We start from the raw sequence: 16647 nt of genomic DNA on the forward strand, positions 1-16647 counted from the left end.
GTTTTTAAGAAACTCTGATGCATTCTTTAGTTTGCCAATTGCATTTTTCAGCTCCAGAATTTCTGCTTGCTTTAATTATGTCACTCTCTTTGTTAAATTTAGCTTGTAGAATTCTGAATTCCTTCTTTCTTATCATCAATATTTTTGAGTTTCCTCACAAGTGCCATTTTGAATTCTCTGTCTGAAGAGTCACATATGCCTGTTTCTTCAAGATTGGTCCATCATGTCTTATTTGGTTCCTTTGATGAGATCATGTTTTCCTGGTTGGTCTTAATACTTAGGAATATCTGTCCATGTCTGGTCATCGAAGAGTTAGGTATTTATTGTCTTCACAGTTTGGGCTTGTTTGTACTTATACTTTTAGAAGGTTTTTCCAGGTCCGAAAGGACTGTATGTTGTGAACTAAGCTGTATCTACATTAGGGGGCACCCCAAGCCCAGTAGTTCTGTGGCTCTTGTAGATTCAGAGATACCACCTCCAAGGTCTTGGACAAGATCCAAAAGAATTATCTGGATTACCAGACAAAGACTCCTGTTCTTTTCCCTTACTTTCTTCCAAACAAATGGAGTCTCTCTCTCTCTCAGTTCTGAGCTGGCTGGAGCTAGGGGTGGAGTGTCATAAACACCCCTGTGGCCACCACCACTGGGATTGCACTGGGTCAGACCTGAAGCCAGCACAGCATTGGGTCTTACCCAAAGCCTGCTGTAGCCACTACCTGGCTCCTCTTCACTCAAAGCCTTGGGGCTTTACTAATGGCTGGTGTCCTATGTCCTTCCCTTTAGGGAATCAAGTTCCTTCAGGCCCCAGGTGGGTCCAGAGGTTATGTCTTAAAGCCAGGGTCCAGAATCAAAAACTTTAGAAGTCTACCTGGTGTTCCATTGTACTGTCGCTGAGCTGGCACTCAAACCACAAGATGTAGTCCTTCCCATTTATGCCTCCCATTTCCTAAGGCAGAGGAGCCTCACCCCATGGCCACCACCATCACAGGCCCATAGGGAAAACTATCAGGCAACTGCTATTTCCTTAAGAGTCAAAAGCTCTTCGTTCAGTTTGTGGTGAATACTGCCTGGCCTGGGGCTCAACCTTCAGGGCAGTGGGCTCCCCTCTGGCCCAAGGCGGATCCAGAAATGCCATGCAAAAGCCAAATCCTGGATTCAGGGACCCCAAGAGATCATTTGGTGCTCTATCTCCCTGTGGCAGAGCTTGTAGCTAAGGTGCAAGACAAAGTCCCCTTTCCTTCTCTCTACTTTTCTCAAGCAGAGGAAGTCTCTCCCCATATCCACCACAACTGGGAATATGCTGAGTTTCACTGGGAGCCAGGAAGTCACAGAGTCTCACACGAGGCCCACGAAGTACTACCTGGGTATTGCTGCTGGTTATTCAGGACCCAAGGGCTCTTCAGTTAGCAAGTGATCAATTCTGCCAAAACTAGGTCCTTCCCTTCAAGACAGTAAGTTTCCTTCTAGCCCAGCGTGTGTTTAGAAATGTTTTCCTGAAGCTGGGACCTGGAAAGAGGGTTTCACAATTCTGACTGGTACTCTTTCCTGCGGTGAGTGAGATGGTATCTTAAGATGCAAGACAAAGTCCTCCCTGCTCTTCTCTCTCCTCTCCTCCTCTCCCCTCCCCTATCTCTCTTCAAGCAGAATGAAGGGATCTTTTAGGAGCCATGAGCTCTGCAGCCTGGGGTTAGGGGAGGGGGAGGAGTGGCATCAGCCCTCCCTTAGCCAAACTGTTATTCAGTTTGTTATGTGCCCCTCCAGACCACTGGCTCTGAGCCCAGTTCAGCAATAGCACTTGCCTAGGAGTTGCAGTCTAGACTGCCGCGAGTTGAATAAATAAAGCTGAAATAAATAAAGCTGAACTTTATTTAGAGCCCCAGAGCCCTCTGGCCCAAGGTGGCAAGGCTTGCAGGAACTCAAGTTCCAACTGCTGGGATGGTCCATTCCCCTCTGGCTAGGGCTGGTTTAAATACTACCTCCATAGGTGAGCATCAGTGGAGTTCAGTTCGATTTTGCTTTCTGTTGTGGCAGGAAAGCACTGAGTTCAACATAACGTCTCACAGTTGTTTCTCTCTCACTCTCTCAAGTGTGCAGATTTTTCTCTTCATGCAGAATGGCCACTTCTGGGGGTTGGGAGAAGGGAGGCATTGGCTATTCAAGACTGTTTATCTTACTTCTTCAGTGCCTCTTTAAGTGAAATGAAGTTAAACCCAGGTACTGTGAACACTCACTTCATTTTTAGTTCTTATGAAGGTGCCTTTTTTGTGTAGATAAATTGTTATCCTTGTGGGCGGGGGGAAGATGATTAGTGGAGCCTTCTATTCTACCATCTAGCCTCTCCTCTTTAAATTTACATTTTAAATAGGCACAGTTATCTAAATCTGGAGCTGCTTCCAGCCATGCCTGTCAGTCACTTATATTACAAATAACAACAGTATTGGCATTTAATAATTGACTGACTCCTCAATATTCAATGATTATGTCAATGAAACCAAATTATTTCTAAACCTCAATGGTTACTTTGAAACAGTAAATAGTGAAAGTCCTGGCATTTTGCATGCTTTCTTTGGAAAATACGGTTTGTTTTTCATTCATTTGTTTTTCATTAGAAGCATTGCACTTTTATCTTACCAATGAAATTTAAAACCACTATTTGTAATCATTGATTATTACATGTATTTTATGTATTATATATGTTTATATATATGTGTGTGTGTGTGTATGTGTGAGTATGTAATAACAATTAACTTTTATACTAAAGATTTTATTAAAAACAGTAAAGTCTATCTTTTTGGTTTGTTGACTAGAGCTTTTCTAAAGAACCAGTAGGAAATAAATTATCTGTACTTCTTGGAATAAAACTATTTATAACTAATAATCAAAGATTATCTGCTGATTAGCTCTGGTATTAAAACTCTTTCTTGCTTTATTTCACCTGGTATTTTACTTCTTTTACATCTTATTGTAGAAAACTTAGATTCTTGTGTTTGTACGAAGTTGTTCATGGTCCCTGATACACACTCTCATCCCCAACATCCAACCCTTTTTTTCTAGTTAATATTTGTATTCCTCAAAACCCAGCACAGATATCACTTTTACCAAGTAGCTGTATTTAGGATTTTCTTGAGCACTTCTCTCTCTTCACACATGGCACTGTAAGAATAATCCAACCAGTGATTGCTGTTATCTCTTAATGTGTATGTTCACTCCTTATTTCTGTAAAATACGCATAAATACACAACACTTGCCCACATATACACTCATAGAAACACACAATGAAAGTAAAAATATTTTCTTTAATTAAAAAAAATCTCAGCCTTTTAACAGAGTGACTGCTGCTAGTGCTCAATAATTATCTGTTGAATGAGTCTTGATATTACTTTAAGTTTTTAAGAAATAAAAGTGACCAAGACCCTGTATACCTAAAATTTATGAGCAAAATATTCTTGACCTATTATACTGTAATTCTACACCTGTTTTATGAAAAGCAATTAATAATTTGATGCATATGATAAAATTATAGCCATTTTAATAGTCATATTAAGGAAATGATTTCAAAGTTTTGCTTTCTGGGAAATATCTATACAATTGAGACATTTATGACATGATTTATCTTTCATCTAAATTCTACTCTGGAAAGTCTTATCCTACACAAATATGTCAGTGCAAATGAGCATTCTTGAAATATCTTTGTGTAAATTCAAAAATATATAGATATATACACATACAAGGACACTTTCTATAAATCATGTCAATTTAAATATTAGAGATCATTTTAAGCTTAAACTATGTCAGTGTTATATGTCATTTGAGCTACCTCATGCTATGTTGGGGAAATTCAGATTTACAATCCAGAATCATTAGGAGCCTACTGTTATTTATTCATAGTGATGAACTTTTTAAAATAGATGGAACATTTATAATTTGGAGGATCTAAATCAGTTACACAATAATTTAAAAATTTTTATGGAACAGAAATGTTATAAACCAGGTATTGTTCTAAGTTCCTGGTACACATAAGTGCATATGTATATGGTATTTATTAAAACTTTATCCAATTAGTTTTTTAAAATGTAACTAGTGGTATTAGTTCATTCTCATGCTGCTAATAAAGACATACCAGAAACTGGGAAATTTATAAAGTAAAGAGGTTTGACTCACAGTTCCACATGGCTGGGGAGTCCTCACAATCATGGTGGAAGGTGAAGGAGGAGCAAAGTCATGTCTTATGTGGTAGCAGGCAAGAGAGCATGTGCAGGGGATCTTCCCATTATAAAACCACTGGATCTCATGAGACTTGTTCACTATCACTAGAACAGCACGGGAAAGACCTCTTCCTGGCTGCTTTCACGAGCTGGTGTTGAGTGTCTGTGGTTTTTCCAGGCACATGGTATAAGCTGTTGGTGGATCTACCATTCTGCTGTCTGGAGGACAGTGGCCATCTTCTCACAGCTCCACTAAGCAGTGCCCAAGTGGGGACTCTATGTGGGGGATCCCACTCACATTTCCCTTCTGCACGGCCCTAGCAGAGGTTCTCCATGAGGGCTCTGCCCCACAGCACACCTCTTCCTGGACATCAGGCATTTTCACACATCCTGTGAAATCTAGGCAGAGGTTCCCAAACTTTGATTCTTGAATTGGGTGCAGCCACAGGCTCAACACCATGTGTAAGCCACCAAGACTTCGGGCTTGCACCCTCTGAAGCAATGGCCTGAGCTGTACATTGGCCCTTTTTATCCATGGCTAGGATGCAGGGCAGTAAGTCCTGAGACTGCACAAAGTGGCAAGGCTCTGGGTCTGGCCCACAAAACCATTTTTCCCTCCCAATCCTCTGGGCCTGTGACAGGACAGGCTGCTGTGAAGAAACCTGACATGCCTCGGAGATATTTTTCCCCAGTGTCTTGGTCATTAACATTTGACTTCTTGTTACTTATGCAAATTTCCGCAGCCAGCTTGAATTTCTCCTCAGAAAATGGGTTTTTCTTTTCTATCGCATCATCAGGCTGCAAATTTTCCACTTTTATGTTCTGCCTCCCTTTTAAACATAAGTTCTAATTCCAAAAAATAACTTTGTGAATACATAAAACCAAATGCTTTCAACAGCCCCTAACTCACCTCTTGCATGCTTTACTGCTTAGAAATTTCTTCCAAAAAGTTTCACAAATCTCTAGGGCAGGGGCAAAATGTCATCAGTCTTTTTGCTAAAGCATAACAAGAGTAACAGAGTAACATTTATTCCAGTTCCCAATAAGTTCCTCATCTCCATCTGAGACCACCTCAGCCTGGACTTTATTATCCATATCACTATCAGAATTTTGGTCTAAGCCATTTGACAAGTCTGTAGGAGGTTTCAAACTTTCTCATATCTTCCTGTCTTCTAAGCCCTCCACACTGTTCCAACCTCTGTCTGTTACCCAGTTCCAAAGTCACTTCCACATTTGCAGGTATCTTTACAGCAGCACCCCACTACCCAGCACCAATTTACCATATTAGTTCTCATGCTGCCAGTAAAGACACATCTGAGATTGGGTAATGTATAAAGGAAAGAGGTTTAATTGACTCACAGTTGCACATGGCTAGAAAGGCCTCACAATCTTGGTGGAAGGCAAAGGAGGAGCAAAGTCACGTCTTACATGGAGGCAGGAAAGAGAGCATGTGCAAGGAAACTCCTCTTTATAAAACCATCAGATCTCATGAGACTCATTCACTATCACAATAAAAGTATGGGAAAGACCCGCCCCCATGATTCAATTACCTCCCACTGGGTACTTCGCACCACACGTGGGAATTATGGATGCTACAATTCAAGATGAGATTTGGGTGGGGACACAGTCACATTATATCACTAGTATAAGTGAGTCCTACTCAAGATTCTGACATATTACAATTGCATAATAACATGAACCATTAGGGAAAATAGTACTTTTATTATTTTTAATAACTGTACACATCATGAAAGTACATAGTGAAAATATTTGTGGCACAAGATAACTTTGATGTCTCCAAAATTATACCACACACACGGCTATTTATCAATTATGTTCGAGTTGGCATGCTGTTTTTCTTGCCATCAACCCAGAAAATGAACTTCTTTAACACAGATGAAAGATAATACCCAAGGTAGTAAGAATTTCTAGAAAAACAATACCAATTTTCTTCCAATATCTTGAATTATTCTGGAAACGTGCCTGCTGTTTGAGAGAAGGGATTGTTTTAAACCACATCAGGAGAGATCATTTGTCTTATGGATTAACATAAATAATGTACTCTCAGAACACACAAAAAGGGCTGCTCTGCCTATGGAGTAGCCACTCTTTATTCATTTACTTTCCTAATAAACTTTTCACTTACACACACACACGCACACACACACACACACACACAGACACAAAGGACCAGATAACTTTCTAATATACTGTACATCAAAATATAAGAAAACATATTATATATAACAGAAATACATAAGCAATAAGCAAGTTGAATTTTTTTGTAAATTTGGGATTTATAAGGCACGAATCCTTCATCTGAATTACGCAGAGAAACAGCAGGAAATGATCAATAAGAAGAGATTAAAGTTTTCAATTAAAATTTGCCTAAGGCATAGATATAAATTTCACTATGATGTAATAATATGCTTTGGCTTTTTCACAAGCCAAAATGCGAGAAAATATTTTTGTTAGAAGTGGATTGTCATGAATGTTGTGTTTACCTCTCGACAAGGTCAAAGATGATGCATTGGAAAATTTCAACAATAACAATGAAACTTTAAAACTACTATAGACCAAAATACAATTAATCATTTTCCAACTTTTTTTTAACAGAGGCTCAAGGAACTGAAACAAAGGGAATTTGCTCGAAATGTAGCATCTAAATCCAGGAAAGATGAAAGAAAACAGGAAAAGGCACTCCAACGCCTGCACAAGCTGGCTGAGCTAAGAAAGGAAACTGTATGGTGAGTATCCAATGAAATTGTAAGTTTTCTTAAAACATGACCAAAAAAGGGGTATAGGGGGAGTCAGAAATAAAGGGCACAAATCTATTTATTACTGTACCCAGAATAAGGCACACATGTTTTCATGGCCTTCTGTAGGCTGTAAACAGTAATTTGAATTAGAATTTTATGCAAACACCTGTTTAATGCACATTTCAGTAAAAAGCCAAAATTACTGTAATTTTGGATTAAAAAATAAACTTTATGTTATTATTTAAGTTATCTTAGTTGAAAGCTACCCCATTTCTTGGTGATACTCAAACATTTGATTGAGGAAGACAGCAAGGCAGTATCTTATGACCCTTTTAACAAAAAGAGTTTTTAGAGATACTTTTTAAAATGAAAATTTGGAGAACTTCTATTTAAAATTATGTTTAAGATTCTTTTTCTAAAAAAGGATAAGAATTTTGCTTGAGAAGCAGACCAACATTAAGTGCGCTGTGAATAAATTCTAACTGGGCTGTTAGAGGTTCACAACTTTTAAACTTTGATCTGCTTCTAACAGTGAGCAGCTATTAGGTGTGAACAGTGTTGTAATTCAGACTTTACAATTCAAGCCAGGGCAAAGTTATTAAAAGAAGACTTTTTAAAAGTAGTCTTTGTTTCTCCAATCAATAAAGCCTCTCTTATTATTGTCTATATCAAAATTATTTCATTCCAAATCTACTTTTTGCTGAATAATGTTATGGGATACGTTGACATATCGAAACATTGTTAGGGATGCCAAATTTGTAAAAACCAAAATAAAATGTATATGTATTTGGAATCCTACATCCAACTGTTAAAAACAGATGTTACTGCTGTTCAGTTACACTAATCAGATATGTTTACTTTTTGTGGTAATGAATAAAAAATTATACAAATTTTAACTATAGAGAATCATGGAACCTATGTAACTTAACGCTCTACAAATAGCATTTGCAAATATAAATTATGATATATTAAGTGAACTAGAGCTAATAATGATATACACAAAAAGCAATACTGTTTATTTAAATTATTATCCTCAGTATAAAGCACATATTTTACATTATATGTACACACAGCCACACATACATGATTTTCCCATTAATTTTATGCTTCAAAAGATGGGAAAAGAAGTCATTCTGTTACTTAGCAGATAAAGCTAAATGAAGCAATACATTGTGTTAGTGGTTAGATAAAGGAAATATCCAACTAAAATTTTCTTGTCTACTTATAATATTTAAAACACTGAATTTTTAGAATAGCAGGAATTTTCTTCACACAGAGTTCTGCTAAGGATAAGGTTTAGGGTTTCTTATATTTATGTGTTTGTCAGTATAGTTCTTTTCATCAGAACTCACTACAGTGTAATGTAATTCCAAATAAGTTATATTTTAAGTGAATTGTCTTTTATCTTGCATTTACTGCATGTTATGATATAATGTATAACTTCAGGATAATTTTAAATATTGAGACTAACAATTTCAAAAGAGTCAAAGCTCTCATAAAGCTAGTACTATCTCTTAGTTACCTTTGCCCATACCAATTGGGCTATAGTAGACTCTTGGTGAATGCTGGGTGAATTGAATTGTTCAACTGAATTCCCAGCTTTTCTGCAGTCATGATTAAGGGTTTTGTTTAGAACTTTCATCATATTTACCATATAGCATCAATGATATTAAGTATGTGTGAATCAAAAGTAATTTTACTTTAGACAATACAACACTTCAAAATATCACAGAAGAGGCCATGAAGGTAGACAATTTTGGTCAGATAGAACTGGTTAAGAGCATATCCTCAACATTGCTCATAACAGCTATAAAAGCAACTTCAGGACAATATTTCCAAGTTATTCCAAACAGTAACCAACAAGTAAATGATATTGTGGCACCATGGAAAGTACTTACACCATATGAAGGCAATTCTGTCACAAAGATTTTAAAATTTGAAAAAATATTATAATGACTTTTTAAAGATGAAAATATTTGACTATTTTTTTTTCTCAAAAGTGTGCTATTTAACACATGCTTCTGTTTCTCTCTCTAGTGCTCCTGGAAGTGGCCCCATGTTCAAATCAACAACTGTTACTGTGAGAGAAAACTGTAATGAAATTTCCCAACGAGTTGTTGTGGATTCAGTTAATAACCAGCAAGATTTCAAATATACTTTGATTCATAGTGAAGAGAATACTAAAGATGCTACCACTGTTGCTGAAGATCCAGAAAGTGCAAATAATTATACAGCAAAAAATAACCAAGTTGGGGATCAAGCCCAGGGGATTCACAGACACAAAATCGGCTTTTCTTTTGCATTTCCAAAGAAAGCGTCCGTGAAGCTAGAGTCCTCAGCTGCAGCCTTCTCTGAATACAGTGATGATGCCTCAGTGGGAAAAGGATTTAGCAGAAAAAGTAGATTTGTCCCCAGTGCTTGTCATCTTCAACAATCTTCACCAACAGATGTGCTTTTGAGTTCTGAGGAGAAAACTAACTCTTTTCATCCACCAGAGGCAATGTGCAGAGACAAAGAAACTGTTCAAACTCAAGAGATAAAAGAAGTCTCTAGTGAAAAAGATGCATTATTATTACCTTCATTTTGCAAGTTTCAACTTCAGTTATCTTCTGATGCAGATAATTGTCAAAATTCAGTCCCATTAGCAGATCAAATACCACTAGAGAGTGTTGTTATTAATGAAGACATACCTGTTAGTGGTAACAGTTTTGAGTTGTTAGGAAATAAATCCACAGTTCTTGACATGTCTAATGATTGCATATCTGTGCAAGCTACCACAGAGGAAAATGTTAAGCATAACGAGGCATCCACAACTGAGGTTGAAAATAAAAATGGTCCCGAGACATTGGCCCCTTCAAATACTGAAGAGGTTAACATAACTATACATAAGAAAACAAATTTCTGCAAAAGACAATGTGAGCCATTTGTACCTGTCCTTAACAAACACAGATCTACAGTTCTTCAGTGGCCATCAGAAATGCTGGTTTATACAACTACGAAACCATCAATTTCCTATAGCTGTAATCCTCTATGTTTTGACTTCAAGTCTACTAAAGTAAATAATAATCTAGATAAAAATAAGCCAGACTTAAAAGATCTTTGTTCTCAGCAGAAGCAGGAAGACATTTGCATGGGACCACTTTCAGATTACAAGGATGTATCTACAGAAGGACTCACTGATTATGAAATTGGAAGTAGCAAAAATAAATGCAGCCAAGTCACTCCTCTTTTGGCTGATGATATTCTCTCCAGTAGTTGTGATTCTGGAAAAAATGAGAACACAGGTCAGAGGTATAAAAACATTTCCTGTAAGATCAGAGAAACAGAAAAGTATAATTTTACTAAAAGTCAAATAAAACAGGACACTCTAGATGAAAAATACAACAAAATAAGGTTGAAAGAGACCCATGAATACTGGTTCCATAAAAGTAGAAGAAAGAAAAAAAGAAAAAAGTTATGTCAGCATCATCATATGGAGAAAACCAAAGAATCAGAAACTCGCTGCAAAATGGAAGCAGAGAATAGTTACACTGAAAATGCTGGGAAATATCTATTGGAACCAATTTCAGAAAAGCAGTATTTAGCTGCAGAGCAATTATTAGACTCACATCAGTTACTTGATAAAAGGCCCAAATCAGAATCCATATCCTTAAGTGACAATGAAGAAATGTGTAAAACATGGAATACTGAATACAACACTTATGATACTATCAGTTCTAAAAACCACTGTAAAAAGAACACAATACTTTTAAATGGACAATCAAATGCAACAATGATACATTCTGGGAAACATAATTTAACATATTCTAGAACTTACTGTTGTTGGAAAACCAAAATGTCAAGCTGTAGTCAGGATCACAGAAGCTTAGTTCTTCAAAATGATATGAAACACATGAGTCAGAATCAGGCTGTTAAAAGAGGTTACAATTCTGTCATGAATGAATCAGAAAGATTCTATCGAAAACGTAGACAACATTCACATTCTTATTCTTCAGATGAAAGTTTAAATCGACAGAATCATTTACCAGAAGAATTTTTGAGGCCACCAAGTACTTCAGTTGCTCCCTGCAAGCCTAAAAAGAAACGGAGGCGAAAAAGAGGCAGATTCCACCCCGGATTTGAAACTTTAGAACTCAAAGAAAATACAGATTATCCCGTGAAAGACAATTCTTCCTTAAATCCTCTGGATAGGTTAATAAGTGAAGACAAAAAAGAGAAAATGAAACCACAAGAAGTTGCAAAAATCGAAAGGAACTCAGAACAAACAAACCAATTAAGAAACAAACTGTCTTTCCACCCTAACAATCTCCTTCCTTCTGAAACCAATGGTGAAACTGAGCATTTAGAAATGGAGACCACTTCTGGTGAATTGTCAGATGTTTCCAATGATCCCACCACATCTGTCTGTGTAGCTAGTGCCCCAACAAAAGAAGCAATTGACAATACCCTGCTTGAACACAAAGAAAGAAGTGAGAATATAAATCTTAATGAAAAGCAAATTCCTTTTCAGGTGCCTAATATTGAAAGGAACTTTAGACAGTCACAGCCTAAATCCTATCTTTGCCATTATGAACTGGCTGAGGCCCTTCCACAAGGAAAGATGAATGAGACACCAACTGAGTGGCTGCGTTATAATTCAGGAATCCTTAACACACAACCACCATTACCATTCAAAGAAGCACATGTCAGTGGTCATACTTTTGTAACAGCTGAGCAAATCCTGGCTCCATTAGCTTTACCAGAGCAAGCATTATTGATCCCACTAGAAAACCATGACAAATTCAAAAATGTACCATGTGAGGTCTACCAGCACATTCTGCAGCCAAACATGCTGGCCAACAAGGTTAAATTTACCTTTCCTCCAGCTGCCCTCCCACCCCCTAGCACACCTCTGCAGCCTTTGCCTTTGCAGCAGTCCTTATGTTCTACCTCTGTAACCACTATCCATCACACTGTTTTGCAGCAGCACGCTGCAGCTGCTGCAGCTGCAGCTGCAGCCGCAGCTGCAGGAACCTTTAAAGTGCTTCAGCCACACCAACAGTTTCTTTCCCAAATCCCAGCTCTCACCAGAACCTCATTACCTCAGCTCTCAGTAGGACCAGTAGGACCGAGGCTTTGTCCTGGGAACCAGCCAACTTTTGTTGCTCCTCCTCAGATGCCAATCATTCCAGCTTCCGTTCTTCATCCTAGCCATCTGGCTTTCCCATCTTTACCCCATGCACTCTTTCCTTCACTGCTTTCCCCACACCCTACTGTCATCCCTTTGCAACCTCTCTTCTAGTCATCACCATAATGGGAAAAAAATACTCTTGTGAAAACTATTGCTATATGCGTTAAGTGTTCATCTATGTGGGTACATGGCTATTTAACTGGTGGAAATAAACTGGCCGATACATGGCGTCATTGGTTTGAAATCATTTACTGTAAGTGCAATGATGCAAATAAATCCCTAAGTTTCTGATATATAATATTATTAAAGCACTGAATAGTTTGAAAATCAATACAATATATGCTATATATTAAAATGATGTCTTAAGAGTATGTATAATGTACATAAAATATATTTATAGTACTCTAATTTATGTTGTAAAGTATGCTCCCTTGGTTTTTCTTAATCTTTGTGTATTTGCACCTATTTAATGTTTAGACAAAGCTGATGGCACTATGTTTTGTATCATGTTCCTTGAAACTGTAAATTCAGTGAAAAATATCTCTTGCAATAAATTTTTGTTAACTATTTAAGTAAATCGAACTTTTGTTTTTAGTTGGTTTTCCCTGTTTTAGGAATGTATAGTAACAATAGGTGTTGGATTTATATCACTTTACTCATACACAGGAATCTCTGAATCTCCAAGGCCCATCAAAACATCCTTGGAGCTCTATCAATACTTTAACTATGATACTATCTTTTAGAATAGTGTAACAGAGGGTCGATTTGTTTTTCTGTTTTTCCAATGTTACTTATACTCAAAGTTTACTATATTTTCTAAACAATTGACCCCCTCTTTAGACAATAATCCATGGAAATTCACGTTAAAGTAATTTTAGTATTTGGGTGGGTAATAACTCAAAAATACGCAAAGTATGTAGTACTCTTTCTGGAACTCTAGAACAGGACTAATAGACAAGCAATGGTAAATAACCAATATAAGTGCTTATAATGTTTAAATTCCCAAATTTATTGTGTTTATTTTTAATTATTGTGGGAAATACGTGGAAATATTGGCATGAATTAAGGAATAGGTTTAACTTTAATAAACCACTGCCTGTTATATAACATCTTGGGATGAACGGCGTAAACACAATCTGTATAAGGATGTTACTCTTAATTGAGAATCTGGAAGTGGGATGGAGAGTAAATAAATAGTCCTTCTACCTGCAAATCTTTCTAGTAGTTATGCTTGTATTGTATTTTTAAATCGCTCAGGAACAATTAGAAAGTCCACATCACTCTTCCAGATTCTGCTTTATTTTATTTATTTATTTTTTTTGAGACAGAGTCTGCTGTGTTGCCCAGGTTGGAGTGCAGTGGCGTGATCTTGGCTCACTGCAACCTCTGCCTCCCGGGTTCAAGCCATTCTTCTGCCTCACCCTCACAAGTAGCTGGGATTACAGGTGCATGCCACCATGCCTGGCTAATTTTTGCATTTTTAGTAGAGACGGGGTTTTTCCATGTTGGTCAGGCTGGTCTTGAACTCCTGACCTCAAGTGATCCACCTGCCTCGGCTTCCCAAAGTGCTGGGATTACAGGCTCTGCTTTATTTTTAATGACCTCTGCATTACTGCTCACTCAAGTGCTTTTATGTGTACTTAAGAATATAATGAGTCAATAGAGAACTAGGAAATAGCACGCTTTCCCCAAGAATATTTCTTATACCTGTCCCAGTCCATACCATTGGCAAGACAAAGTATACATCCCTTTTAAAGTGGGTTGTCCTCACCATTTGCAATAAGAGCAGATTATAGTAGCCTGGCAATAAGTCCAGGGTTTCAGAGCCCAATTGAGTCACTTTAAATGGAAAGCAAGTTTTAAATGATGCTGTACTGAGGAAATATTGTATATGGCTAGCATAGGAACTGGATTACCCTAAATAATTAGGGACCTAAAAGTATTTTCCCATATAAAAATAATCAATATTTAATTATATCTTATGTAAGAAAAATAAGAAAGAAAATCTAGGCCATTTACTTTCATGATATTTGGCATAATAATCACTGGTTTATTTGAAGGTTCACCTGAAAAATGCTTGTGAAAGACTGAGTATACCATTTAATGATTGACTAATAAGTAGATAAAAATAATAAGGAAGCAATTCCATGTCAAATGCTGTAAGATAATATGTTCAAAAAACAGGAACTAAAATTGGAAAGGATGATTTTTTCCCCAGGCAAAATATTTGAAACTATCTTTGAAGATAAAATAGATGGAGATATCTACTGGGGAATGCTGACCCAGTTTGTTTTTAATCTGTCAAAGCAGAATTGCTGTTTTTGATGTTAAAAAATCAAACCAAGTGTTTGACTTTAAAACATGCATATTTTCCTCTTCTTTGTATCTTCTATCATCTTGGTTGTTCACCTCTTACCTCTTGTTTTAATCCTGCAATTGCTTTGTTTATTGATCTTTGTTGATGTTATTGCAGACATCATTTGTGTATTATGTGCCTCCTTTTCTTTCACCATGTTATCATTCATGTTTTTCAAATTCTGCTTCTCTCTTATTTATTTGTTAAATGATATGGTTAGGTATGGTTAACTTTTTAGTTGTAGGAGAATGTGCCTGATTGCTAGATATATGACAGGAATTTCTAGAAACTTTGAGGAGGAAAGTTCTCTATTAAGATTAATTAAAACTCAGCTTTACAGATAAAATAATTGGTTCTCATGGATACCAGGTCTGGACAAGAAACTTGAACCTAGTTAATCACTGTCAAAGTCAGTCTGATTATAAAAAATTCTTCTAGTTTTCTGATACATTGCTAAGATATTGCTTACATGGTCTGGGCATCTGTTATGTGTCAAGGACTCAAAATGAATGGATGGTGAGACACACATATTCAACTATTCTGACAACATCAACTCCAGAATCAAGGAAATCAGGCCAATAGGCTGAAGAACAACAATGAGCAGAGCAACCAGACAGGTAAGTCAGAGAGCTGTCATTAGGCAGTGAGGCTGTCAGAGGACCACCAGGCAAGCCCACATTAATGGCAGCAAGAGTCAAGCCATTCGGGCAGTCATACTCTGGAAGTAGTTTTGGATGCTGGCTGACAGTGTGCTATAAGGTGTATCCTGAAGAAAAAATTTCAGTCCTTTCCCAGCATGAATTGTTGTACATCCTATATACTTTGGAAATTTAAATGATTCTAACACTATCTCTTACCCACCATCTCTAGTCTGCTAGTTACAGGCATTGTCATACCATTTGTTATTGTAAGGATGAATGATTTGGAAAATAGAATGAAACCTGAATGTAGAAAGTAACTGTAGCCAATTAACAAAGGTTTTTACATTGGATAATAGGAAGGAAAGTCATCCACAACTTCAACTACTATGCATGTGTCAATTATACATTTTCACCAAGTTTTTTTTATAAGTCAAAGTCCTATATCAAACTATCCACAGGACATCTTAACCTGGATATCTTCCAAGTATTTTGAACTCAGAACTCAAACCCATCATCTTACTTTATACATACTACCAAAATCTGTTCTTTTCTCTGTTTCCAAACTTTGTGGATATCATTATAATAAAACCTGTTATTCAAGTTATAAGTTTATGCCCACATCAAAGCAATCAAGAACCATTTGGCTCTATTTCCTTAAATTTTTTTTCAATTCCATTTCTCCTGCTTTTAGTTGTCCATATGCTGAATTGCTGTTTTAAATCAATGTCTCCATCCTCCCAGTCTCCCTTTTCTGCAATTCATCTTCTAACACTGCTCTCACCAGGGCTACATTTTTAAAATGTAGTCTTATTATGACATGTCCTTACTTTAAAACTTATTCAGAGTTTTCAATTATTCTCAAGATAAACACCAAAGTCCTTAGTATGTCTTGGAAAATCTGTGCTGAAGTAGGTTCCAGCCTCTCAGGATCATTCCTTCCAGCTCTCCTCTGGGCCAACCATTCTAATGTACTGATCTAAATCTCCCTTGAGATTGTGTGAGCATGTTTTGCTGTCCTACAATGCCCTACTCTCTCTATATTTCTTCACTTGGATAACCACTAAAGAGCCAAAATTCAAGATGTCGATTTCTTTTAGGAATTCTCTCCCAGGTTCCCCCTCTCCCCTAATGAGATGGCTTCTTGTCTTCTCTCTTCCTGTAACATGCCGAGCACAAATTTTGTCATAGAGTATTCTCTGTGTCGAATATATTGCCTTGTTTGTCAAAATCACTAGACTGAGAGCTCCTTGAGTCTCTGTAGAATGTTAACACATAGTAAACATTTAACAAAATTTTGTTAAGTGAAGAATAAAATGAATTGAAAAAATATAATTAAAATCTATGAAGAGTGTACTAGGGTTCCAGAATTGTTACCTATTTTTACTCCAAATAAGTCCTAAATCCTTCTAAATAAAAAGATAATTTTTCAAAACTAAATACGGTTTCAACATGTTAAATATATAGAACTTTTTTTTAATGGAATTGTAGATCACTTAAAATAGAACTCTACCACCAAA

General features: G+C 36.9%; 1 protein-coding gene across 1 annotated transcript in view; it reads left to right on the forward strand.

The window, feature by feature from the left end:
• The window catches only part of ZNF804A (zinc finger protein 804A), a 340964-nt gene extending 328254 nt beyond the window's left edge, over window positions 1-12710 (forward strand). The window contains exons 3-4 of the mRNA NM_194250.2: window positions 6821-6951; window positions 9001-12710. Coding sequence (NP_919226.1) covers window positions 6821-6951; window positions 9001-12244 — 3375 coding nt within the window. The 3' untranslated portion in view covers window positions 12245-12710. The remainder of the gene's footprint in view (window positions 1-6820; window positions 6952-9000) is intronic.

Source organism: Homo sapiens, chromosome 2 (assembly GCF_000001405.40).
Source record: "Homo sapiens chromosome 2, GRCh38.p14 Primary Assembly".
NCBI classification, from domain to species: Eukaryota; Metazoa; Chordata; class Mammalia; order Primates; family Hominidae; genus Homo; species Homo sapiens.